The 26,540-nt window shown below is 35.2% G+C and overlaps 1 protein-coding gene across 59 annotated transcripts in view; it reads right to left on the bottom strand.

The window, feature by feature from the left end:
• The window catches only part of ADGRL3 (adhesion G protein-coupled receptor L3), an 878,010-nt gene that overhangs the window by 545,142 nt on the left and 306,328 nt on the right, over nt 1-26,540 (bottom strand). For 28 of the 59 annotated variants that reach the window (NM_001387552.1, NM_001322402.3, NM_001387522.1 and 25 more), the window contains one exon: nt 15,676-15,879. The exons of the other annotated variants lie outside the window; for them this stretch is intronic. In NM_001387552.1, coding sequence (NP_001374481.1) covers nt 15,676-15,879 — 204 coding nt within the window. The remainder of the gene's footprint in view (nt 1-15,675; nt 15,880-26,540) is intronic. 59 annotated transcript variants of the gene reach the window in all.

Below are 26,540 nucleotides of genomic sequence, written 5' to 3'. Positions count from 1 at the left end.
TACTGAAAAGACTCCCACAGAGTATAAGATTTAATTCTGGGTCTTCATTGGCCAGAAACGTCCTTATCAAAATTCTATCAACTTTCCTGTCAATTTGCTTATTCTTTTGTTTTATGGCAGATAGATTTTTCCCTAATTAAGGCTGCTTTCAGAATGTAGAGATTATGCACTACACCTTGTCCTGGGAAGTAAATCCCTTTTTCCAAAGAGTCCCATGTTCTTAATATCTAAAAGAAAGAAGCTGAACATAATCCAGTCCTCCTTTTCCAACTGAGCTTTCATTTCATACTTCACTACAGTTTCTCTAATCCCACTTTCTCTTTGGGTTGCAGTGTATGCCAAACACATAGCAGGTTTAAAATCCCTGCTGATCCGCTGAGATGCTACACAGTGCATGGCAGAGTTTGGCAAGCATGTGTGCTGAGACCTTTTTTTTTTTTTAAACATCTAAATAAAACAGAGCTGGTGTTACTATCGGTTTTACTCTGTATTTGAGGCCACTGAATCCCTTGGCTGCTCCCAGGAGTGCCTCTTCATCTAACAGGCATCATCCTAATTGGGATCTGACCAAACAGCTGGATTTACAATGAGGCATTAGCCATCAGTTGAATTCCTTAAACACACACACACACACACACGCGCGCGCGCGCGCGCGCGCGCGCATGCAGCATCCTGCAGAAACAAGACTTACAAATGAGTACTTGAAGACTCATTTCTCACTCTGACCCCTGGGGTCAATGATGTCAGAGAAACTATTTCTGAAAAGAGCTCTACAGTGGGAGTGAACAATCAGGACCAACAATAATGAGTAGCTCTTGAAGGTCACAGCTGTTGAGCAGCTAATTGTAACTTGAAAAGCTGAGTCCCAAGTTATTAATGATCTTGCTGATAAAGTTTTTTCCCACTCCAAGTCATACAAGCTTTTATTCTAACTTTGAAGATAAAGCAGAAAGCTGCTCTGGCTATAAATGCAAGACTTTTTCTGTCTAGATGCAGTCACGCATATCTGACTGCCTTCCTTCCTCACATGCAGTATAAACTGGTGACCTTTGTATAAATTAAGGTATGCCTTCTGATTCCAAGATCACTCCTAAGGGAAGAGATCACCAATTCTATCAAATATTTCATTTTAGCTTGTTGATTATTTCATGTTATAAAACAGATTGAATGATATCAAATAAGTAATCTACTCAGAGAACCAAAATGATCCTTTCCTTATTTTATATGCATGTGGTAGAACACACCACCTTCATTTGAAACACAGACATTGTATTACACACTCTAAAGTTAGGTTATGAAAGGTGAAAATAATATTTCCATAGGCTAACAAAAATTATACTGGATGATAAAAAGATCTTTCTGCTTTTCTCAATAATTACTAAGGGCACAGCAATGAAGACATGAGGAAATGTAAAGTGTACTATTAGAAATTTAGAGTACATCATACATGGAAATTCTATTACAACAAGCATCCTGCACACTTCAAAGATTATTGAAATCAGTATTGGTCTCTTTGCTTCTTATATTTTATCTATTCATTTGTAATTTCTTCCCAAGTAGGAGTTAAATCTTCAGATTTCTATCATGGGTCTGGATGCAGTCATTTATGTACACACAGTAGGTGCATAGTAAATGCTTGCGGAAGGAAGGAAATGAAATGCTATAATAATAATGTCTTTCCAGTGATGAAGGTTGTTCATCACTCTCACCACATCAAGCCACTAAGGCTCTTGAATGAATCCCTGAGGCTGCCACAGAATGACGCAAGGCACTCACCTCTTTTCCCTTTCCACAATCCCAAGGGGATTAGTGAGCAGCTTCTACAAAGCCCAGAAGCAAACAACTGAAATGTGAACTTTAGCCTGTTAGTATAATGCAAGTTAGACTAGGCGAAAACAGAACAAAACAAAACACCCTTGTTTCCTAAGGGTGCAGGTGGTAGCAATGCGCCTAATTATTTTTACCAAGATTCAGGTCTGTGAAAGAACATGTATGCGTATACACACACACTCATTTTCTTTGCCTTTATTTGCTCAATCGGCTTGAAGTGATATGCCAATATAATCATCACAATATTTTTGCAGCAACTTCATTCTTTCATAGGTGGTATTCTATAAATCACAAATATTTTTCCATTTGCATTACAATTAATAACCAGTAAGGAAATATTTATTGAGTTAATACTATGAGCCACAGACTATATTAAGAACTCTGGCAAATATATGATAAATAGAGCACAGGTCCTTACCTCAAGGATTTTATAACCAAATAAGGAAGAAACATACACATAACCATAATTAAAGAGAATGTGATAAGTTCTCTAGTACTTTTAAGCACCAGGTGTTGCCATCTACATTTATACTAATTTCCGTAAACTGCCAAAAATACACAGATGAATATGTTTCCAATATTCTTGCTTCTCCATATACCTATAAGAGTGAGGAAGTTTTCATCAGCTCAAGTCACTTAATCACCTATCAAATCTCTTGATATTTTCAAAATTAATGCAGCACTATAGAGAGCTGGTAGTATCATATTTGTAGTAGAATCAGATCATCTAAGCTGGGGTGCAGGGAAACTTAAATAATGAATTAACATATTATCCCACCCCCTCAGAACTGGAATAACAACAAAAGTATAAAATTCCAAAAGGCAAAAATCTTTCTCCACACAGTCTGTGTTTACCAAACTCAGCACTGAGCCATGGAGCTTTCTAGCCTTGACAAGAGCTGAAACAAGTACTCTTGCATTAAAAAGAAATAGTTCAAATATCCATATACTCTGTGAAGATTTTTTTTTTTTTTAGGGAGGGTAGCAAACCCAATTTCTGTATGGCAAGACCATATAGAAATTGGTCCATATAGTTGTCCTCTTGAAAGACCATATAGTTGTACCTCTTGACAGACCCAGGGAACAGCTGACCAGCAGAGACAGTCAGAAATGCTATCTGCATTTTCTTCACTACCCTTCTATATCTACACTAACACTTTTGAGACAATTCATGCACTTATGCAATTTTCTCTCTGTAGATAATGTCCAAATCTGTGGCTAAATATTCTATTTAATTTAATACCCATTATTTTCAAAATCCCTACAGAACTGGCTCATGGACACCTGGAAATACATCATACTGAAAACTAAAATCATTAATTTCCTTAGAAACTAGTATTCCCTGCCAACTATTTAATTCAATGTACAGATAAGGAATACAAGCATAGGTTGAATTTAAAGCCATAAAATATTTTTAAAGCCACATGTAGTGATTTCAAAGCCCTTCATTTAACATATTCAATTCTAAAGAAATTAATAAAAGCACTTTTAGTTTCTTTACTTTTAAATCTATGGTCATAATGTCTTAAATATTTTGTCCCAAGTGTCAATTAAAACTTTAATTTTGCACATTTCAAAGCAGTTAATGCATACATTTATGCTAAACTTGCATTTAGAACCATTTGTAATGAAAAAAAAAACTGGTCTTGAATAGTCTTATGAATAGAAGTCTTATGAATAGACTTAAAGAAGTAAAAAGCTTTATATATCATTCCATAAATGTCAAATAATTTCAAATTTAGCAAGAGCTTTACAAATAACCTAGCCCCAATCCACTAACTTATAGATATAAAATAATTTACTTCAATTTACATAGTTTTGTAAGTAGCAGATGTTGGATTATAACCAAGGTGATTATATAAATTATCACCCAAATCAGGACACTTTGGGAGTGAAAGAAGACACTATTAAGGATTACTGCAGAATAGCAGGTGTAAACTGAGTCTCTCTAAGCAAACTAGAACATATGGTTAGCCTAACTATAATACATGTAATATAGTGTTTGCTGTTTTAATTGAGAATATCCAGTCTGCTGTAGGTTAAAAGAAACAAAAGGCATTAGCTAAAACTTATGTGTTAAATATACATACTGGATAGACAAGTAGCTTGGGAAACATATCCAGAACTCATAAGATGTACTTAGAATAGAGAGTAACTTAGTAAGCTACAGACATATTATAAAATACAGTTCTGCTGAACATCAATAACAAGAATGGAACAAGTAAGACTGTCACTTAGAAAAACATGAAAAGACCATAAATTTTGAATATTCATAAAGCCCAGATCATATCACTTCCAGATTGTTATTCATTGACTCTAAATCTGTCTCCTTTAGTGACATCCATTATGGCATCATTATGACCATAATGAGTTCTCTGCTTGAAAAACTCAGATAGCCTTAGTAGCTCACCAGGTTATATCAGTGAACTACAGCTGTGGCTAGGTGTCTGAGTCCCAGTATCTCTCCAACAGAGTAAGCCTTGTGCTACTACCTCTAGGCACCTTCCAGCTATTGAGCTTCCTTGCATATCTGGTCTTTGTAAGCACACCATCAGCAGAAATAGCTGATGCGACAGAAAGTGAATTTTGATATTGCAGCATGGCATAAAACAAAATTAAGGAAGTGTGGCCCTTCCACCTCATGGATTCCTATCCTAATTGTGTAAACCTACCCCCATCTGCATCCTTGCCTCTGGCTAGAGAATAAACAAATGACATGATTCTAGAATTATGGCACCTTGGTCTCTTAGCCTTTCAATTTCCTAGCTTCTACTAGAGCTTACTCAGTATGGTAGGCTATTGTTGAATCTATATAAATCCCCATATGGTGGCACGTATCTCCAAAATCCTATTAATTTATTTACTCATTCAACAATTGTGAGTACCTTCTACACAGCATGCTCAATTCTGGGTGTCTGGGGTGTAAAGATGAAAGATATATCCTCTGTTCTTAAACAGAGTCCAAGGAGAAAAACAGATAAGGAAACATACTAGGTATGATAGTGTTGTCATATTCCAACCTCCAGAGACTGAGAAAGACTTCCCAGAGGAAGTGACACAGAGAACATAGAACAGAATAAAACAGAGAAAAGAGAGAAGAATAGAATCACTAACACTGATGGCTTGCTGCAAGTGATAGAATTTTTCTAAGTAATTGATGTGAATTAACTCATGTAATACTCACAACAATCCTATGAGTTATGACCGTTATTATTTCTATTTGAAAAATGAGGGAACCGAAGCATAGTGAGGTCACACATCTTTCAAGTGAGTCATGATTGGACAGCCGGCATTGTGGACCAAGCATCTATCTTCTTAATCACTAAATTACACTGCTTCACACCCCAAGTGCCAAGAACTAAAAGATGACTGGAGGTTAGAATGACAACAAAAGAGAGGAAAGGGCATGGTGGTGAGAGAACGAAACCAAGAAAAATGGAGTTTGAACACAGTGGAGGCACCAGGAACTGTATGATATGATGCTGTTAAAGTGGGAAGGCCCAGTCAATGAGAGGGTTTTAAGTTATGCTTAGTTTTAAAGCTCTTACCTTATTGTCTCCTCGCTATATTGCTCTATAACTCAAAGTCTACGCCACAATCTTGTTAATGGAAAAAAAGTGAATACATTTCATAGCATTAAAAACAAAAACCAAAAGCAAGACTTGAAATTTTCAATTAAAAATAATATTCTTTTAATTTACATCAACATCTTACAAAAATTCCCAATGGAGGATTCTCTGAACTACAACAAAAACCTAAGGGGCATTCACAGTTAATCTAAAGTAGACTTCTATCCATGAGTCACCTAAACATTTCTAACTTGTTTAAATTGCATATATGCAACAATTATATATAAATTTATGGATATGTACATATGTGTATATATGTCAATTAAAGATGGGAGAAATACAATAATAGGTTTCACACAAGTACCTTTTCAGTAATACTATGTTGCTATAGCTGTTTCTTTAAGGATGACAAAGAATTTGAGAAATAACATAAAGGTAAGAAATAAATCAACAAAATATATACCTTCACAGACCATTCAAATAATTCTGCTAGATTATCTCCCATTAGACATAATTACATTATTTAATATAAATGAAATGAAATTTTTAAGCATTAGATGGACAGAATGGTATATTTTTTCTTTCAGATGTGAAACTATGGAAATACATTTATAAGAAGTTTTCAATAAAATTGAGAAATCTATATATTTTTGAATTCCTGATATTTTTAAATTACGAAAGTACTAATGTATTTACTTCTTGGCAGAAATAAAGATGAATATAAATATTTCTATGTCTAAAAAATGTGTTGCAAATAATGTTAACTTACTTTTTCATATTTCAAGGCTAGTTTCAATAAATGTATCACTCATGACAAATATTTCGGCCATAGTGTAATTTTTGAATTTTAAAATGACTTTTTTAAAGTCTTCACTTTGTTTTTGCTATAGACTATTTGAAAATATATTTATATTCATCTACTTACTGATTCAAAAATATCCCAGTGTTTCTCTACTTATCTCATAAGGTATTACAACATTCCTCGAATTAAACATTTTAAACTTATTTATTTATGTATTTATTTATTTTTTGAGGTAGGGTCTTACTCTGTTGCCCAGGCTAAATTGCAGTGGCACAATCATAGCTCACTGCCACCTCAAACTCCTGGGCTCAAATGCAGACTCTTGATTACCTGGGACTGCAGGGATGCACCACCATACCCAGCTATTTTTTTTCTTTTATAAAGACAGGGTCTCACTATGTTACCTAGGCTGGTTTCAAACTTCTGGCCTCAAGTGTTCTTCCCTTCTTGACCTCCCATAGTGTTAAGATTATAGGCATGAACCATCATGCCCAGCCAAGTGTATTAGTCTTCCAATTTGTGTTCACTCCAACACTACTTTAGCCTAATGATTTACAATTAACCAATGATCAAAAGCAAAAAAAAAAAGTATAACAATTTCAAAATGGAGCAAAATCACTAAACTTAGTCATATTTCCTCATTTCTATCACATAAAACTCACAAGTCTAATCCTCTACTACTTGCTCTCCTTAAAAATATGGGATTTATGAAAGGTCATTGAGTCAGTAATTTATCAGTGAGAATCAAAACCAATCATTTTCTCATCCACTTAGCTCATGCTCGGTGATCACCCTATTACATCTGTATGAACTTTCTGTGGATTAGCATTAGCAGAGGCTGGCCAAGGGGCGAAGCGTAAGAAAAGTATGGAACTTCACTTCAGTTTACCAATTGTATCAACCCATGTCTTGATCACCCTCAATGGCTTGCATTTTTTCCTTCTCTAAAGGTAAGTGCGTCCCCAGCATCCCTCCTTGTCCCTCCCCTGCTTCGGCAATCTCATCATCCCCAATCAATCTCTTTATCAGCTCTGTCAGAAATTGCCAACTTTTATCACTAATGATCGCTTTTCTCTTGACAAAGATTCACATTTTTAGAATCTGCTTCACATTTGCACCTCTAAATCAATATATCTAAGACCAACTTCACCATTATTTTTTTCCTGAAAAGGCAATGCTCCCTCTTGACATCCTAATTTTGTGAATGGTACCACCCAGTCACCTCAGCATCTTTGATTCTTCCCTCGACCTCACCTCTTGCATCCAATTAGTAGCCCAGTAGTACTATCTGTGCATCTCTCACATCATTCCTCTTCTTTCCATCCCCATTGCTATCTCCCCAGTTCAGACACTCATTACCTTCTGCCCTATGGCAATAACCTAACTGAGCTCTCTACTTTTAAGTCCCACTCTATCCTAACTTTTCCCACACAATTGTAGCAGGTTCTAAACTGCAACTCTAATTAGAAGCTTCCAAAGAATCCCCACTACAGACACAATTATGTACAGAGTCTCACCCTGACATTTAAGACCCCCTTCTAAGGTAGCTACAAACTGCCTTTCAAACTTCCTGTCTCACTATTTCTTTCCCCGTGTTCTTGTTGTTGGTTAAATTAGACTATTTGACATTTCATAAAAATGTCATAATTCTCTCCCACTGTAATTTTATTCACATAACTCAGTTCTCTGGAACACCCTCCTCTACTACCTCTCATCTATGCTTGCAAATTATCCTAGGAATTTTTTCTCAAGAGTTAATTAAAATACTACCTTATCTAAAAGAGCTTTATCAATCCTCCTTTCTCGTTTATCTCCATCTCATACCAGGAATGTCATTTCCTTCTTTAAAATATGACAGCATTTAACTGACACCGTATTCCACCAAATCATAGAGTTGACTGCATTTCTGGTTTACCTATTCTTTCTCTTGCTAGCAACAGATTGCAAAGTCCTTGAGGAAAGGAACAACCTTATAAAGGGTACCATAGATGTTGTAGGCACAAGAAATATATGAATTAAATTACTGTCTCTCCCAAACGTTTATAATCAATGTTCAGTTACCCAAGCTACGAACCCTTGAATGTGCCCAAAATATAAAGCCAGTATTTTCAAAAATTATTTTGCTTTTCCCCAATCCATACAGCTATATTAACAATAAATGAATTTATTAAACATTTTTCATGGATCTTCCATTATATATCTCTGTTTTGATTATTATAAAACAGAAAGTCAAAAAAAGGGATAAACAGCAGTGGGGAACACTTACTAGGTCTCAGGAACCACATGCTTTACCATTTCACAACATCACTACAATATATGCATTTTTATATCACACTTTAGAGATGTGATAACAAGATTTTAAGAATATAAGTCCCTGGACTTGGGTAAGATAGTTAGTAAACAGTAAAGCTGAGACTGAAACAAATCTGACTTCAAAGCCCATTTACTGCAATTCCATACTAGTAGCATCTTTGCAGCAGTAAAAATAAAGTAGTGAAGAAGAATTAAAGATATGCCTAATAACCAAGAAAAAGAAATAGCTCCTTAAGCAGTAAGAATTAGAAAAAAAATCATCAATTTAATTAATTGTATATATGAAAGAAAGAATAAGTTAGAACACCTGGCCAAATTTCTGCATTTCTGTACTGGAGACTTACATAAATGGGAAATGCAGATTCTAAAAACAGGAGCATAAGGCAGTCTACGAAAGTTTGATGTTTTATGGACATCATCTGACTTGCCCTTTCTTTTCACCTGAATTTTGTGTTAACGCTTCTATAAATATAACGTAAGTTTCCTCTTTGTATCTGGGATACACTTCAGATCTTTATTATACCACACATTGTTTTAGGTAAGGGGATAGAGAAGAAAAAGGAAGATATTTCCTAGTAATTGACTTATTCTGAGAAGTATCTGTCATTGTATAAAATTTGCTCCTTTGGAACACACATATAATACTTTGAACATGGCAGATGCTCAATAGTTTAATGAAACAATTTAAAGCACATTCTTAATTAAATTTTAAACCAAAATGTTTTGAGCACTAAGTGTCAAAGTTTAGCACCTATTTTCTAGTTATTCATACTCTTTGTGAAAAAATTCAATAGTCAAAAGTATAATTTCTGTAAGTATTTTGAAAAGCTACTCACATGCTTTTTAAAGAGGGAATATAAATTGTAATTTACACCAATAGAAAAAAAGACTGAGCTTATACTATTCTGGAAATACTTGAAGGTCAAGCTCGCACATTTATTTTCAATTGGATACATCCTTCTGGTATTTATACCATTTAGGAGAAAAACAGGGTCTTAAAGAAATTCTTTGAAATTATCTTTAGGGCTACCAAGCATTTAAAAAAAATCTCAATAACTGACCTATTTCCCTAGAGGCCTATTACCTTTCTTCCCACATAAAATAAGAATATGACTGACCCTAGATGCACATAAGAATTCTGAACAGTGATGTGCAAAGAACGTATTATGCATATCAATTAGACTCTAAGTCTTGTCTAAAATGGCAAACCTCACTGAAAGACATAAATAAATGTGAACAGGGGATTTTACCTGAAATAATATTACAGTGTCATATAGAAGAAGGCAGCTAACACAGCACTCTAAAAGCCACATTATATTATTCTCCTGCAGCAAAGAGATACATCCAAAAGGCTGAACTTGTAAGAGTTTTCCGTTGCTGTAGCAAAATTGATCCCTGTTCTTCTGTTAAAATATCTTTCATCTTCATACTTCCCCACAAATTCCTAGACTTCACCTACACACTTCAGACTATAATGTAGTAACAAAATTAGAACCATGTTTTCCAAAAGTTTAGGAGTAAGGAAAGTAAGAACATGAGAAGATGCCAGAAGGATTACTCATCATCGTCTCATATGCATGCACAAGCACACGTACATACACACAGACACACACACACACACGCACAATTTTCAGACCAGTCAAATTCAAAATCAGGAGAATAGAAATTGTTCTGTCAGGAATAAGGCTATGGATGAGTGAAAGTGGGGGAAAATCACTTGGATTCAATGCTACAACAAATGTTTAAGCTGAGTTGAAGAGGAGTTAGGTGGTCTATAGGACATTCCGACCAGCAAAGATAATATTTGCCAAAGGTATATTGGCAAGCATGTTCGTCTGGTAAATTGACGCAACCTCCATGTGGCTGAAGGATAAGACGTGAGGTGATGTGATTTGGAGCAAGAGAGAAAAGTGCTTCCTACTAACTTTGTTAAACTAGATGTAGGCCTTCTGGCTTACAGGTTTTAAAGCAGCCTACATTTACCTTTGTGTTCATCATTTAGCCCAGTGTGAATGACTTCTCTAGTTAGTGATCTCATAATGTGCAAAAGAACTGGCTCCCTCTATTCTCAAATCATGGTGTTACAAGCAAACCAACAAATGAGGTTTTGCCACCCTTTTCCTGCTCCTAACAGTTTATTACATCATCGTACGTAAAATTATGTAAGCTTGGCAATTGTGGTCTTGGATCTTCAACTTTGAAAGCACTTCCTTTTTGATCACAGCTTTTATTTTCAAGAGTCTTAATCAATGAGAACATTAACCATTTTTTCAAGATAAAGCATCACTTTACACTGTCATCAAGGGTTATGCTATTTAATAACCAGTTATAATTAGGCAAGAGATTAATCAAGGTTCATTTTTGAGGCATTCTCAAAAGACACAGGGAGATTACTCTTTGTTATTATTTTACTGAAGTGTGTGCTATGTTACATTATTAATGAGAGCAAATATGGGCAGAGTGGTCTCCTGCTTCTCCAAATTTTGCATTGGAACATTGTACTAAGAACTGAATGAATGTCAAATATATCTAGGCCTGGAAAGACAGCAAAGCTCAAAATTCAGAACCAATCTTGGCTCCACTATATCCCTGCTAGGTATTACTGGGAAGTAGAAGGAACGATTGAATGAAAATCCTAGCAGATATCCTTAATGTTTCTGGACATCTTATCACATCTGGGCCAAAAGAAGATGCCTAACAAATAATAAGGCTACCAGTTATTATTTTTTTATTAAGAATCACTTATGCTAAACACATAACATTTTTAGTTTAGTTTTTTTTTCAGATTTGTATATTGTATTTAAGTTATGTGTCCTTAAATTTGGGGCCAGAAAGTTGGGTTTCTGTTCAATCAGTAAATGGTTGGTTAACAACATCATTATTCCTTGCCTACATTCTCCATCTCCTCCTGTCTTTCTTATCTCAGTAAATGGTACACTCATTTATAATGCAATCTCTCAAGCCAGATACTTGGTTTTCTCCTTTGGGTTTTCCCTCTGTCTTACTCACATGTGCAATGAATATCTAAGTCCTGTTATTTGGCCATCATCATCACTACTATCACTCACTCCTTGAGTCAGACCCACCAATAGAACAGACTCGTCTATTTCTTATCTATCTGCATCAACATGATGAACACTCCATTGGTCTTGAAGACTGTTTTGGTTAATTCTTCAAATGTGTCACTCCTTGCTTAATTCCTCTAAGATCAACTTAATTTTTCCCTCACTACCATCAGGAAAATTTCAAACTCCTCATAGTGTTATACCATTGTGTTCTTCCTGACCAGATCTCTGACCACTTCTCCAGATCATTACTAGACTGATATCTAGAAATTATCCTTGGGACTTCTATGTTTCAATCATCCTGAACTAGGCCCTTGTGTTGCTGTTTCGTCTACTCAGAATAGTATCTTTCTTCTTCCATTTCTGTGCTTGGCAAACTACTACTTGTCTGTTAGGTTGCAGCTTAGAGGCCACTTTATCTTCAGGGGCACCTTCTCTAACCCACCAAATAGACAATCCCCCTACATGCTCCACAGAACTTTATTCTCACCCCTATAATAGGTATTCCTAGTATTGCCTCTGTTACACAGTTGCTACTGTGTGGGCCCTGGGCCAGGGAATGACTAGTGACATGAGTAATTAGATAAAGGATATTTACCTAACCCAATGGGGATTAAATTTCCTTTCTTAGAAATCTGAACTAAGAGGCGAGAAGGCAAGTACCAGTTGGTTGTTGGTGCTCTGGAGGGGAGGAGTGGTGCACAATTCAGGCTGACAGTCACTTATAATGACAATGAGCAGAGAAAGCTGTTGGAAAGATTGAGAAAAACAGAAGAAAAACTGGTTTCACAGGAAAAAAAAATCCCTGGGTGTTATTTCCTGGTATCTAAGGTTTAGTACTCAAGGGTCCTTAGAATTCCATACTATGACACATTCTTAAAACACTATTCCTGCATTTAGTACTCCCCCTCAGACAGACAGACAGACAGACACACACACACACACACACACACACACACACAGAGGTTTATAGAAGCCTCCTCATCTATAAATATTAAAACCCAAGTAGGAAGGAAAAAGTTTTTTTGAAAAAAGATTATAGTAGAGTTTGATGTAATTCTCCAAATGGACTGATCAAATATATAACCCTCTTGTGGAAGCATTTGTGGCTCTTGCAAAAGATGAACTTTAAAATGAGCCCAGAGTAGAGTTTTTCAGATGTTTTGTCAGGACTGAAATGCTTTAGCTGTTTTCCTAGTGAAAAGTTGTACTGGTTTGGCACCACTGTCTGTGTGGTTTGTAGGAACATTATTTGTAGATCTTCTCAATGAACTTTTTTAATGCAGCTGCATGGAGATAAACAATAAACCAAGAAATATGCTGATTGAAAAAAACACATTAACATGCCTTTAGCTTCTAGGGAAAGCCTTGATATCTAGTCATTAACTGGGAAATCTGCCCTCAGACTTCCTTCTGCTTTAACATGCTAAAAAGAAACTTAGGAGAACTATTTTTAAAAATTCTTCATGCTTTGCTGTTTTACCAAGATGTCCTAATTTGTATGAATCCAAATACTCATTAACTCTCAAGTGCTATTAGCTATCAAGAGTCAAATGAATTCAAAGGGGGGAAAAAACAAAGCTTAATTTCAAGCCAATAAGGGCATTTTGTTATGTTGTTATGGCTGCTTTCATTGGATTCCTACTTGCCTGTTTGGCTATCTACAGAACGAACAGAGGTTAATATATTTTTAAGTAATATCAATTTTGTTTTTGAATCAAAGATTGCATTAATATCAGCCTTTATTCTTTTATTTATTTTTGAGCTTTATATTTTTAAAGTATCTTGTTTCTAGAACAGACTTGTTTTTGTTTTATGAAGGTGGAGGAGGGGAGGAAAGGTGAGAACTTGAATTCACTGACATTTTCTTGTTCAAATTCCTCCATGTCTTTTCAATTTAAAGAGCTCAAGATAATGTGATATCTCTTACTTCAATTTCATTTTTAATACCTGTCCAAGCATTCTAGCTGTATATACTGTCTTCCATATTAGGAAAGATTATGCCCCTATAATATTTACTTATTCTTCTTTATTCTTTCTACAGGGAATATTCTAAGATGACCTTTATTCTCTGTCTCCTTGATAAAATTACTTTCACACAAAAGCAACTTTCAAAAAGTATCATCTCATCATGACAGATTAACACAATTCTGTAAGCGCCTTTTAAATCACAAGACGTTTACCTCAGTCTCCATTAAAAATATCACATAAAATTGGCTTGTACTGTCGTTTTCATCTCTGTCCAAAACAGAATATAATACAGCTTTTCTATTTGTAAATTGATTTAAAAATGTGACTTAAAACCCGTCACTGCACTGTAACTTGCCACATACATGCCAAAAACTAAAATCTAGTGATATAGAAAAATCTTATTAAGCTATAAAAACTGGGGAATAAATTCAGTATAAAGTTCTTAGAAACAATGATTCTAATTGATATTCTGAATTTTTGTCAGAAGAGAGAGTTTCCAGCAGCTATGTGTTTGTGTTTACATTAGTTGCTGATTTAAATATTTATAGGATTCATATAAATTAAATATTATTTCTGTATTTCTTCTTAATTCTAGAAAGTCCGATGAATGTACAGGCATTGGAGTTAGTTAACTAATATTCATTATATATTATTGTTTTACAATATAAATCATAAGACAAAGTTATGATGAAATAATTGTGACTGCTGAAGCACATTCTGGGAATAATAAAAGCCCATCCAATTTAGAAAACTTCAAGTTTGAAAAGGTAATACAAATAAAACAGAAAGGGAAAAATAGGAAGTTCTTAAAGAATGTTTACTATCCATTGCCCTTGAATTTTGAGAACACACTGGAGTCCATTCTACAGGCTTCTATGGTATTGCATGGCCTCGCCCACCACTTTGCTGCCTGTCATCACCACTGCTGCTGCCAAACCACCACTACAAGGCAGAAAGGCCAATCTGAATGGAGAGATTGAACGATGTGACTTAGGAGACAGAGCTACGGTGAATGCAAAGTTACACATGCTCTTACTCTGCCTCGTGGCCACAGTAATTGAAGAATTACATTTAACTCTCACGGGTCTCTCAAATCTCAAATGGATTAATGATGCACCTCCCTTAGGTCCTGACTGAAACAAAGTATTCCAACTTATTTTACCAGAGAACTCTTCAACGGGGCTTAGAAGATAAACTCAGCTAATACTGTGATGTTTCATGTTCTTTTGCTAGTATTACTTAATATGTGTATCCCTCTCAAGAAATTCTTGGGTCAGAATAGTGACTGTGTTTTAGGAAAGATTTGATATTCATAGTTCCACTAGCCAAATGCTTCCCAGCTTATTTTCCACAAATAAAGTTACAAATATTATATTCCTTGGGGGAAATGACAGAAATAAGAGTACCCATATGAAGTTTTGTGAGAAAAATAAAAATTACATTGCCTAAATATTATGTAAATAAAAAATAAAATGTAAAGTGTTCGGGAAAAGAGTAAGTACTAAGTTTTGTGCAAATATGACCTAATGCTCCTCACTGGAGCTTTTGGGGCTGGATGCCACTTGCTATACTTTCCAGCTGCAGAGGCAATATTATAGGAAGAATGTTCCGCCATTTTCATAAGAAAATTAGGTTGTTTCAGTAACTATAACTTTTTTACCAAGTTTTACGCTTTAAATGACTAATGTGCAATTCCTAACCAAGACGTCTTAATCATAATCTTTTCAAAATCTTGATAGTTTCCATTGGTGAAAATTTTTTCAAACAAGCAGATGATCAGACATGTTAAAACTTATACAGCCTTTCAAATTTTACAAGAGTTGAAAGTGTCACTAAAAGTAATTTTAAATTTCCTGTGATAATGCAAAAATATTTCAAACCCAATCAAGTATTTTAAATAAAACATTTCAAAATAATGTTGAAGCTCTGATGTAGAACAGGCATGCATTGTATAAGCCTTAAAAAAAAAATGGCCAGGATATCACTAAGTGGTAATATCAGCCACAAAAGTGAATGCAGACAGTAAACTTACAAGAAGACACATTTCGGGCATTTCCTGGGGCTGAGCCTCTCAGGAGCCCCTGCCCAGCCACCCCCAGCCCTCTCTCCCCACCGCTGGCCGCACCTTGCGCTGCAATCTGTGCTCCTTGGGCACCTGGACCGCGAACTCCTCTGGTAGCTCCACGGGGCCCTTGTCCACGATGAGCAGCGGTGCGCTCTGCAGCTGGCTGCTGAAGCAGATGTCTGGGTGGAAGAGCGCCTCCTGGGCTGCGCTCAGCGTGTCGCAATGGAGCAGCAAGGGCAGGATGTCGTTCACTGTGCTTGCCACCTGCGGGGACCGCAGGGCGCACCATCAGACCCCTGCTCACCTCAGTCCCGCCTCAGGGGAGCCCTGGTAGAGGCTATTCCCAAGGCTGCTCTCTGCCGCCGGCTATAGGCCCAAGACTCCAGCCACCCCAGGCCCTACTCAGACAACCCTACAGCTGAGAGGATTACATCTCCTGGCCCCTAGTATAATGCTATCCTAGTTAAACACTATCTTAATTAAGCTAAAAAAAAAAAAAAAACTCATCCTAATCTCTAATAATGATTAGAAAATTAGACATAATTATTGAAAGCACAGTAAGCTACCTGAAAAAATATAAATATTATTTTTATTTTTATAGATTCACAGCACTCTAATGTAAATTAAGGGCACTAATACCTACATAAGTGTAAATAAGAATAATGGTTCCTAAACTCAATTTTTACACAAAATGTTTGATAAGGTAATGGGTAAAGAAAGTCCCAGAAAGGTGTCTTTTGTTTGTTTATTTGTTTTGTTTGATGTATGGTTACACTTATATGGATTGTTTTATACTTATTTGTATGTTTTCAGGTCATTTAACTACCATTTTTGGAGAGGTGCTGTTTTAAGATCTGTGCTGGACGTTAAGGTGAAAAGGATATACACACATTTTTACCATTTATATACACAGTGATTTTACTGACAAATGGTACATATTACATAAATGAGTAAATATGAAAGACCAAGACAATAATGAAAAAAAAGTATACATGATTTTTAAAAATAATTCAGAAAACACCCATGCATTTTATGCTTTGAAAAGAGATATTTAAATATAGGATTTTTTTTGATAAATTGATACATGAGATACACATTTCCCTACACTATTTGCAACTAGTTTAATAAATAGGAATGATAATGAAAATCTGTCTGTCAACAGAAAGGATAAATTTTACAAAGAAAAAGATTTTGCTTCACACAAGTATTTTTTAACAGGTTATAACATGCATGTATAAAAACACATTAATAATGTTATGTGGCTAACATTAAACAGGAGAGAAACTAAGAAAATCAATAATGCAAGAGAATTTTATGATCATCTTGCTAACACTAGAAATTTATACAGTGGTGCCATAATTTCTTGCTATATAAAATATCTGCAGATTAGAAGTGTAAAACATATCCCTCCCAAAACACATAAAATAATACAAGTTTTATGGAAAAAAATCATATTAAGAAATATGTTAAACAATATATCTATAATGGAAAACTTTAAAATATAAGTCTGAGACATTGCCCCGAAACATTTTTATTTGAATTTATTACAATGTATGATTACTAAAATATCTAGGCAAAGGTAATCTGAATGCCATTTTTATAGCCTGTGTAAATGAAAAAGGTGCCAAAGAAGAAAATAAGTTTCAAGACCAAAAAGCTGCGAAAATCAACATCTCTAAGTAATTGCCTTCTTTGATGTTTCACTCTAGTGGCATCATTTCTGAACTTTTGGCTCCTAAGATATCCCTCTCTTCATTACCTAAAATGACAATATGACTAATATAAAAATATTTTTACATGAATATATACAGGCATGTTTTCTCTAATATCTTTGTTACTACTCTATGGAAGAAAATTAGCCAAACCTTATCAAAATAGATTATCCTATAAGCCTCTGTTATGCAAAAATTGAAAGATTTTATCCTCAGCCAAGTTAAAATATAAGCACATTTAGAGTGGGGGAGAATGTGCTTATTTTTTCATTCATTCAACAAATATTTATTGAGTTCCCATTACATGTTGGGACCTCTTCTAGGTGCTGGAGAATTTGGTGAAGAAAACAGACCACAAAGCTACTTTAATGAATCACACATCTGGTAAGGGAAATTAGAAAATACACAAATAAATATTAGAGAAAAAATACCATATAAATATGAGTAATCTATGAAAAAATAAATAGAGTATTATGTAAAGGTTACTTCATTTGGGTTTTTGTGAAATATTTGGATATGGAGACAAAATATAAATTGGGATTTCAGTGAGATTTAAAGTCATTAATCATACAACATTCAGTTGTGTGACTGTAAGTTGCTAGTCAAAGAACTTCCAGGATACAGGAAAGGCCTCCAGGCTAAAATCCCTTGGTGTGTTTGAGAAATAGCACAACGGCTGGGTATAGGGGTCAAGGTGAAGAATAGTCTGGAAGGCAGAGAGGCAAGCAACATCCAGATCATGAGCTTTGTAAGCCAGGGTAAAGAGCTTAGTTTTAAGACAATCTGTTTAGGATAATTATTAAAACTCTTGGGAGGGAAGAGTAGCATAGGACAGGGACGTGGGAATAGGGATCTCTTCTTAACTAGAGATCAAATATTTCTAGAAAAGGTCAATTTCTAGAGTAGGCAAAGAATGACAATTGATTTAAAAATGAATAAACAATGGAATCAAGCATCAGCTAAACAGTATAATAGTGCCTGTATCTAAATGAAAAAAATCTGAAAAATAAACAAAACATAAAAACACACGTCAATAGAACTAGGAAGCAAACTCTTAGGGATCTAGAAAGAGTTGTTTGGCTTGAGGAGTAAAACGATTTCATGGAGTAAGACTAAAGAATACAAAATACCAGGAGCTTAAGTCGACTTTGACTGTAAATTGAAAAAAGTAGACTGATGTGTTCTATGAAACCAAAGTATCTTATGTGTCTGTAGTTCATACACTCATTTAAATTCACTGTATCTATAAAAGAAATCCAATGGGTGACAGAAAAACTAGAGAGGCTGTTACACTGCCCACATAGAGAAGGATTATTAGAACAGAGCCAAAATGTCAACTTTTGCTTTAAAAAATATGTGTGTACTATACTCAAGATATTGTATGACTTCTGTGGAAATATTTATTTGAATTATAAATATAAATCCAATTTGTCTTCCTGAAGCTATTATACAAATAAGTCTTCAAGATAAACAGCACACTTATAAATCTGGTGTCTGGTATTCCATTAGAAACACGAATCTTAAGTCTGCAAAGATTCCTTCAATTCACATGCTAGAAAGTTAGAATGTTCCTGCCATACAGATCTCCCAAGGTTCACGTCAAGAGGTTTTGCTCTGAAACTCACTCTCTCCTTGGGGCACAATAGCATCTGAAGCAGCTAGTTTCCTTAGGTCAAGGAAGGTGGTATCTATGCCCTGGCATTCTCCACTCACTTGTCTAAATTGAATACATGGGCTACAAAACCAACTCAAATTACTCCTCGAAGGTTCTTCTCAGATATTTGAAGATAGTTTTCACATTCTAAATGCCTCTTTTTTTATCCAGACCTTTAAGAGAAAGGATTCTTTCAAATTAGCTATTAAAAATACACCAGCATGTTGTGGCATTAACCATAAGTTGAAGGCAACCCTCCAAGTTTCCTTCCCAATACCATTAGAGGCCACAGTTTCAAACTCTGTTGCATGTAATTTTAAGATGTCGCAAAGTTAATTTTGGCTCTGAGGCAGGAAGCTATAATAAGGTCAATGCATCTTGTTCTTTCTATCCATCTTCAGAGAAACTTCATGCTTATCTTTTAAAAACTGCATATTTGATTAGGATTTTATTTGAATTGAGGGGGAGATTTTCTATTTTTATTTGTTTTTAAAGTTTTAACTTTTAAATCATACATAATATATAATACTCCTTGTAAGTAATATGAGTTATTGCCATATACAAATCATCCTTATATTTGATTCATATCCAGATATTTTTACAATGTAAGCACTTTCATTCTGCTTTCCTAGTGGGCAAGCGTGAAATATAAAATTAGTATTTCATAACCTACTATAATGATCAAAATATTTATCCCATGTTCATGTCTCTTAAATATCAAAAGCCATCAGAGCATCACTGTTCCAGAATGTTGGTTGTGGGCAGATAAGATGGCAAGAGATAAACAAAAGAAAAATAATGAGTTTTTAAAAGGTAAAGTATTTGTGATGATAATACCAGAGTTTTCATATTATCTGTGGAAGATATAATTGGTATAAATACCCATAAATATCAGAATTCAATGATAGATAACTTGCAGAGATCAATACTGATTTATAATTTTTTTAAAATTAAGTAAGTACTGTTTCTAACCAACTTCAGCTGTTTCTATTTTCTTGTTCTTCTTACATGAGCAGCTTTGTAATTCAGTCAATTATTCAGCTTATTCCCCCAAATAGCTATTAATCATAACAGTGAGCTGGGACTCTAAACAAAACAATGGCTAATTCTATAATGAGAGAAATGCTAAAAACAAAATACAACCTGGGCATATTTATCAGAGTTACCAGGGCTTTAATTTTCATAAACTAAAAATTTTTCTCACAAGTCATTTACTTTTGTGGTTTAGGGTTATATTTCACCATGTCTTTATTAGCAACCCAACCATGAGCCTTACAGAGTTTGAAATGTACACTAATATAGCTATGACTCTAACCTACATATTACACTCTGTCATTCACCATGGTAGTATCTCTTGGAAAGAGAATACTTACCCTCCTGAACATACCCGCCTAATCCTTTGTACAAAGTATCCTTCCTAGTAGGAAATCCTTTCCCCTACTGCTCAGGCTTTCCAAATCTCACCACTTTCTAATATCACTCTTTCCATAATTTTACCAAACAGTTCTCTATCTCTATATAAAATGATAATCACATTTCATAATATTTCCTTTCCATTCTCTACTAAAACATACTCAAAATCTTGTTCCTTTTTATTTCCAAGATTTAAACAAACACAGTATTGCTGTCTTCCCTAATTGAAGATTTTAAAAATTTACTTATTTTATTTTATTATATTCTAGCTCAATCTCAATATGCTACTTTGGTTTGTTTATTTATAATTTAAATCATAGATCTATAAAATAAGGCAAATGCTCAGTAGGTTATAAAAATGCCTATGGACGAAGCCTCCACAAGATGGCTAAGAAATTTTGGGTTGAGTTTCTCCTCAAAAGTCACTTAAAATATATTATTACATCATTACATTCACAGCTCTGAGTCTATTTTTTCATCTGAAAATTACCAGTCCTACTACCTATGACTCATTGGATTGTTATGAGTATTCACTGAGCTATTATGTACAAAACTCTTTAGCTAACAGGAAAGTATTGTGTAAATGCTGGAAATTATATTAAAAAGTTACAATAGCAAATGGCTGATTGCTACTGAAATGTCTATTCCAACTTCACTGCCAACATATATAATAAAAGGGAAAGAAAGAGAAGGGTTGGGGGGCAGAGAAGAGACCACTATTTTCATTTCCTTTTCTGTAAATAAAGGCACATTTTCAATCCTGCTTTCTTATGCATACCTGAAAGGCTCTCTCCCACAGCACCTTCATTTTAGCCATATAAAAGATTATATCTTTCTTGATTTCTCCCTAAGGTGTATATGATAGCTGCATAATTTCTTTATAGGCTGGGTAGTAATCTCTAACAATAGTCATAAAAGATCCAATTCAAGCACCTGAGTAAAGATGCCATCATGTAGAAATTGCAGCATGAAAGTCCTAACACAGAGGGGTAAATCTGTTTCAATTCTGGGTCTTATAAGAAAACAGCTAAGCTAAGTAGTAACAAATTGTCCTCCCGTGTATCATGAAGCCAATTTTATGGTATACCTAAATCTTATTTAACTCAACAGGTTCCTTCTCTAGACTACCTTGTTTCATAAAGTACTGGTATGCCTGATGTGGGCAAGAAATTACACTTCAGACTAGGTTCCTCATTAATTTTCTCCAAAACATAACTGTTACAATAAAATAAATAGTAAGATAAACTTTTGTAGTCATTCAAATAAGAAAAGAAGTAATCAAATAATCTCTCTTTGCTAACAACATGATTCTATATCTAGAAAACCCTAAAGGCAGGAGAAAGTTCCTAGACATGATAAACAACTTCAGTAAAGTTTCAGGGTATACAATCAGCATACAAAAATCAGTAGCATTTTTTGTTTGTTTTTTGACAAGAGTCTCACTCTGTCACCAGGCTGGAGAGTGCAGTGGCACGTGATCTCGGCTCACTGTAACCTCCGCTTCCTGGGTTCAAGTGATTCTCCTACTGCAACGTCCCGAGTAGTTGAGATAAGGTGATGAGGTGGCACCCGCCACCATGTCCGGCTAATTTTTTTGTATCTTTAGTAGAGAGAGGGTTTCACCAAGTTGGCAAGGGTGGTCTTGAACTCCCTACCTCAAGTGATCAGCCCACCTTGCCCTCCCACAGTGTTGGGATTACAGGCATGAGCTACCTATATATACCAATAACATTCAAGCTAAGAGCCAAGTCAAGAACATAATCACATTTACAATAGTCATCAAGAAAATAAAAAATCTAGGAATCCATCTAATCAGGGGGGTGAAAAGATCTCTACGAGGAGAACTACAAAACACTGCTCAAAGAAATCAGAGATGACACAAACAAATGGAAAAACATTCCATACACGTGGATAGAAGAATTAATATTGCTAGAATCGCCATACTGCCCACCCAAAGCACTCTACAAATTGAATGCTATTCCTACCAAACTATCAATGTCAGTTTTTACAAAATTAGAAAAAAACTATTGTAAAATTCCTGTGGAATCAAAAAAGAGCCCCAATAGCCAAAGCAATCCTCAGCAAAAAGAACAAAGCTGGAGGCATCACAATGCCAAATGTCAAACTATCTTATAAGGCTACAATGACCAAAACAGTGTGGTACTAATACAAAACAGACAAATAGAACAATAGAACAGAATAGAGAAGCCAGAAATAAAGCCACACACATACAACCATCTGATCTTCAACAAGGTCAACAAAAAATATGCAATGGGGAAATGACTCCCTATTTAATAAACGGTGTTAGGATAACTGGCTGGCCATGTATGCAAAATAATGAAACAAGGCCCTTACTTTTCAGCATATGCAAAAATTAAATCAAGAGGGATTAAAATTCTAAATGTGAGACCCTAAACTATAAAAATCCTACAAGCAAACCTATAAAGTACCATTCTCACATCAGCCTTAAGAAAGAATTTATGACTGTCCTCAAAAACAATTGCAACAAAACCAAAAATTGACAAGTGGGACCTAATAAAACTAAAGAACTTTCACACAGCAAAAGAAACTATCAACAGAGTAAACAGACAACCCACAGAATGAGAGAAAATATTTGCAAACTATGCATCTGACAAACATCTAATATTACAGAGAGCTTAAATGATTCAACAAGCAAAATACAAATAATCCCATTAAAAAGCAGGCGAAGGACATGAACAAACACTTCGCAAAAGAAGACATACAAGCGGCCAACAAACACAAAAAGGACACTCAATATCACTCATCATCAGAGAAATGCAAATCAAAACCTCAATGAGATACCATCTCACACCAGTCAGAATGGCTATTATTAAAAAGACAAAAAATAACAGGTGTTGGCAAGGCTATGGAGTAAAAGGGATGCTTACATACTGTTGGTGGAAATGCTAGTCAGTTCAGCTGCTGTGGAAAGCAGGTTGGAGATTTCTCAAAGAACTAAAACCAGAACTATTATTCTACCCAGTATTCCCATTATTGGGTATATACCCAAAGGAAAATAAATTATTCTACCAAAAAGACATATGCATTTGTATATACATTGCAGCACTATTTATAATTGCAAAGACATGGAATCAACCCAAGTGCTCATCAATGGTAGACTGGATAAATAAAATTATATATATATATATACACACGCACACACACACAGCATGGAAGAATACTATGCAGCCATAAAAAATAATGAAATCAGGTCCTTTCCAGCAACATGGATGCCAGTGGAGGCCATCATCCTAAGTGAATTAACACAGGAACAGAAAACCAAAGATTGCACACATAGACTTATAAGTGGAAGCTAAACATTGAAACTTATGGACATTAAGATGTGATATGTGCCAGGCGCAGTGGTTCACGCCTGTAATCCCAGCACTTTGGGAGGCTGAGGCGGGTGGATCACCCGAGGTCAGGAGTTCAAGACCAGCCTGGCCAACATGGCAAGACCCTGTCTCTACTAAAAATACAAAAATTAGATGGGAGTGGTGGCGGGTGCCTATAATCCCAACTACTTAGGAGGCTGAGGCAGGAGAATCACTTGAACCCGGGAGGCGGAGGTTGCAGTGAGCCGAGATCGTGCCATTGCACTCCAGCCTGGGCAACAAATGAGAAACTCTGTCTCAAAAAAAAAAAAAAAAAAAAGATGTGATATGGTTTGGCTCTGTGGCCTCACCCAAATCTCGTCTTGAATTGTACTCCCATAATTCCCACGGGTTGTGGGATGGAACCCGTGGGATCGTTTGAATCATGGGGGTGGTTTCCTCCACACTGTTCTTATAATAGTGAATAAGTTTCACAAGATCTGATGGTTTTATCAGGGGTTTCCACTTTTGCATCCTCTTCATTTTTCTCTTGCTGCTGCCATATAAGAAGTGCTCTTGCCTCCCGCCATGATTCTGAGGCCTCCTGAGCCATCTGAAACTGCAAGTCCAATTAAACCTCTCTTTCTTCCCAGTCTCAGGAATGTCTTTATCAGCAGCATGAAAACGGACTAATACAAGATGAGAACGATAAACACTGGGAACTAGGAGGGAGAGTGAGGCAAGGTCGGAAAACTACCTATTGGGTAGTATGCTCATTACCCTGGGTGACAGGATCATTTGCCTCAGAGTCATGCAATATACTCCTGTAACAAACCTGTACATTTACCCCCTGAATCTAATATAACTGTTGAAATTATAAAAATAAATAACTTAACAGATGACATGAGGAAAAAAGATCCAGATATGCTTAGATATGTAGGTTAAAAAAATTTTTAAAAACCTCTGTATTTATAAAAGAATAAATAGTCTGCTTTTACTCATTAGAGTCATTATCAGAACACTAAGCTACTATGTTACAAAAGCTTTATAAAATACGCTGAGAATAGTAAAAGAGTCAAACACATGGCTGTGAATAAAGCTAAAGGGAAACATTTCATTTTGTTAAAGAACAAAAGAACCAACTTTTTAAGATTGCTTTTTAATTGGCTTTCATAGCTGGCACTTTATATATTCTATCAATAAAGGGAAAAATAGTGACTTTCATTATAATCGTTGCCTAAATTGTAATACTGTGATGTAAATACCTTAAACACTTCTGAAAATGAGTAAGTAGAGATTTCTGTTAGTGATATAAATTTATTAGAGATTTGGCTCCTGACAAAAAGGATTTTTTTTATTCCAGTCAAATAAAATCCATATTATGTACCTTAAGAGGAGTGATAACTAATAGTAAGATTTTCCAAACACCAGCCTCCTTGTAAACATAATGCAAAAAAATTTAAGTTCATGGTAACAAAAAACCTTTAGAATATAAATTTTTTAATGGTATGGCAACTATACTTTCAGAATGTTGTAAATTATTCCTTTAAAAATCTTTACAACTATAGTAATGAGGCACTCTACCTTAATCATACTGCCAATTGTAACTAATGTGTGGGCAAAATGAGCAAAAATGATCCACATATTGACAGAGGTCTGTTTTGTTAGGGAGTTCTAGCTCCCTCTCCTAAGTAAATAATAACTGGCATTTCTGAAGACAGCTGAGAAGAATGAGAACTGTTTTGCTTTTTAATGGTAGTAAGATATTTTTGCCACCCATCCACCCTTCTCAACACATACACACAACAAACTCAATCTGTTTTAAAGTCCCCCCCCACAACCTGTGGGAATTATAGAAGTACAATTCAAGATGAGATTTGGGTGGGGCCACAGAGCCAAACCATATCACATCTTAATTTCCGTTAGTTTTTATGAATGCCTAAATTCTGTTTAACAAGACAGCAAATATGTTAACAGGCTCAAATGTCAAAATGATCGATTATGTTATGTTGGATGTGATTATTATTGGACACCTACTTTTAAAAATCGACATGGTGGTTTTTTATCTGTCTGCAGAGGGACAACATAAAGCCTGCCAACAGCCTGTAACCTCTAATACATCTGTGCTATCACAGCTATTCCAACAATCCAGCTTTTGTAACTAATCTAAAAGGCCTCCTTTTAAGCAATTGTGTAGTGTTCCCTGGAGGGAGAGCATCATACCAGCCTGTTGCTTTAAATTTTATGCATTATTTGTCTTCATTATTAAATAATGTGCCCTGAAGGTCTGCATGGTTTCACCAAGTTCCCTATCAAAAGGAGAAAAAAAAGAAGAAAAATGATCATTGCTAAATTGTCACCACCATTGTCAATTTGTATGGAGAGCTCTACTAAAGATTAGTTCTGATCTAATTCAGGTAATGTTTATGTTTACTACTCTTGTGATATCTCTAACAGCTTGGAGAGAATCAGTAATGAGTGAAAGTAGACTATTTGTTCTTTTATAAATACAGAGGGTTTTTTTTATTTTTACGTTTTTAACCTACATATCTAATCATTAGGTTTTTTCCTCACATCATCTGTTATTCTCCAACACAACAACAAAATCAATCTGTTTTAAAGTCATCTGAGTCCAAGAAAAAGAATGAAATGTTGTAAAATGCTATTTTATGTTTGCACGTTATTTTTATCTTTACATTTAGTCAAAACAATGATTTCTCTAATTTAGGTCACTGAATTTACCCTTTTTAACTTCACATAAAACTAATGATACCAAAGTGAGGGTGTATCTGTCACTCACTATTCAATTTT

Source organism: Homo sapiens, chromosome 4 (assembly GCF_000001405.40).
Source record: "Homo sapiens chromosome 4, GRCh38.p14 Primary Assembly".
In the NCBI taxonomy this organism is placed as follows: Eukaryota; Metazoa; Chordata; class Mammalia; order Primates; family Hominidae; genus Homo; species Homo sapiens.
This window is presented reverse-complemented; position numbering and strand designations above follow the sequence as displayed.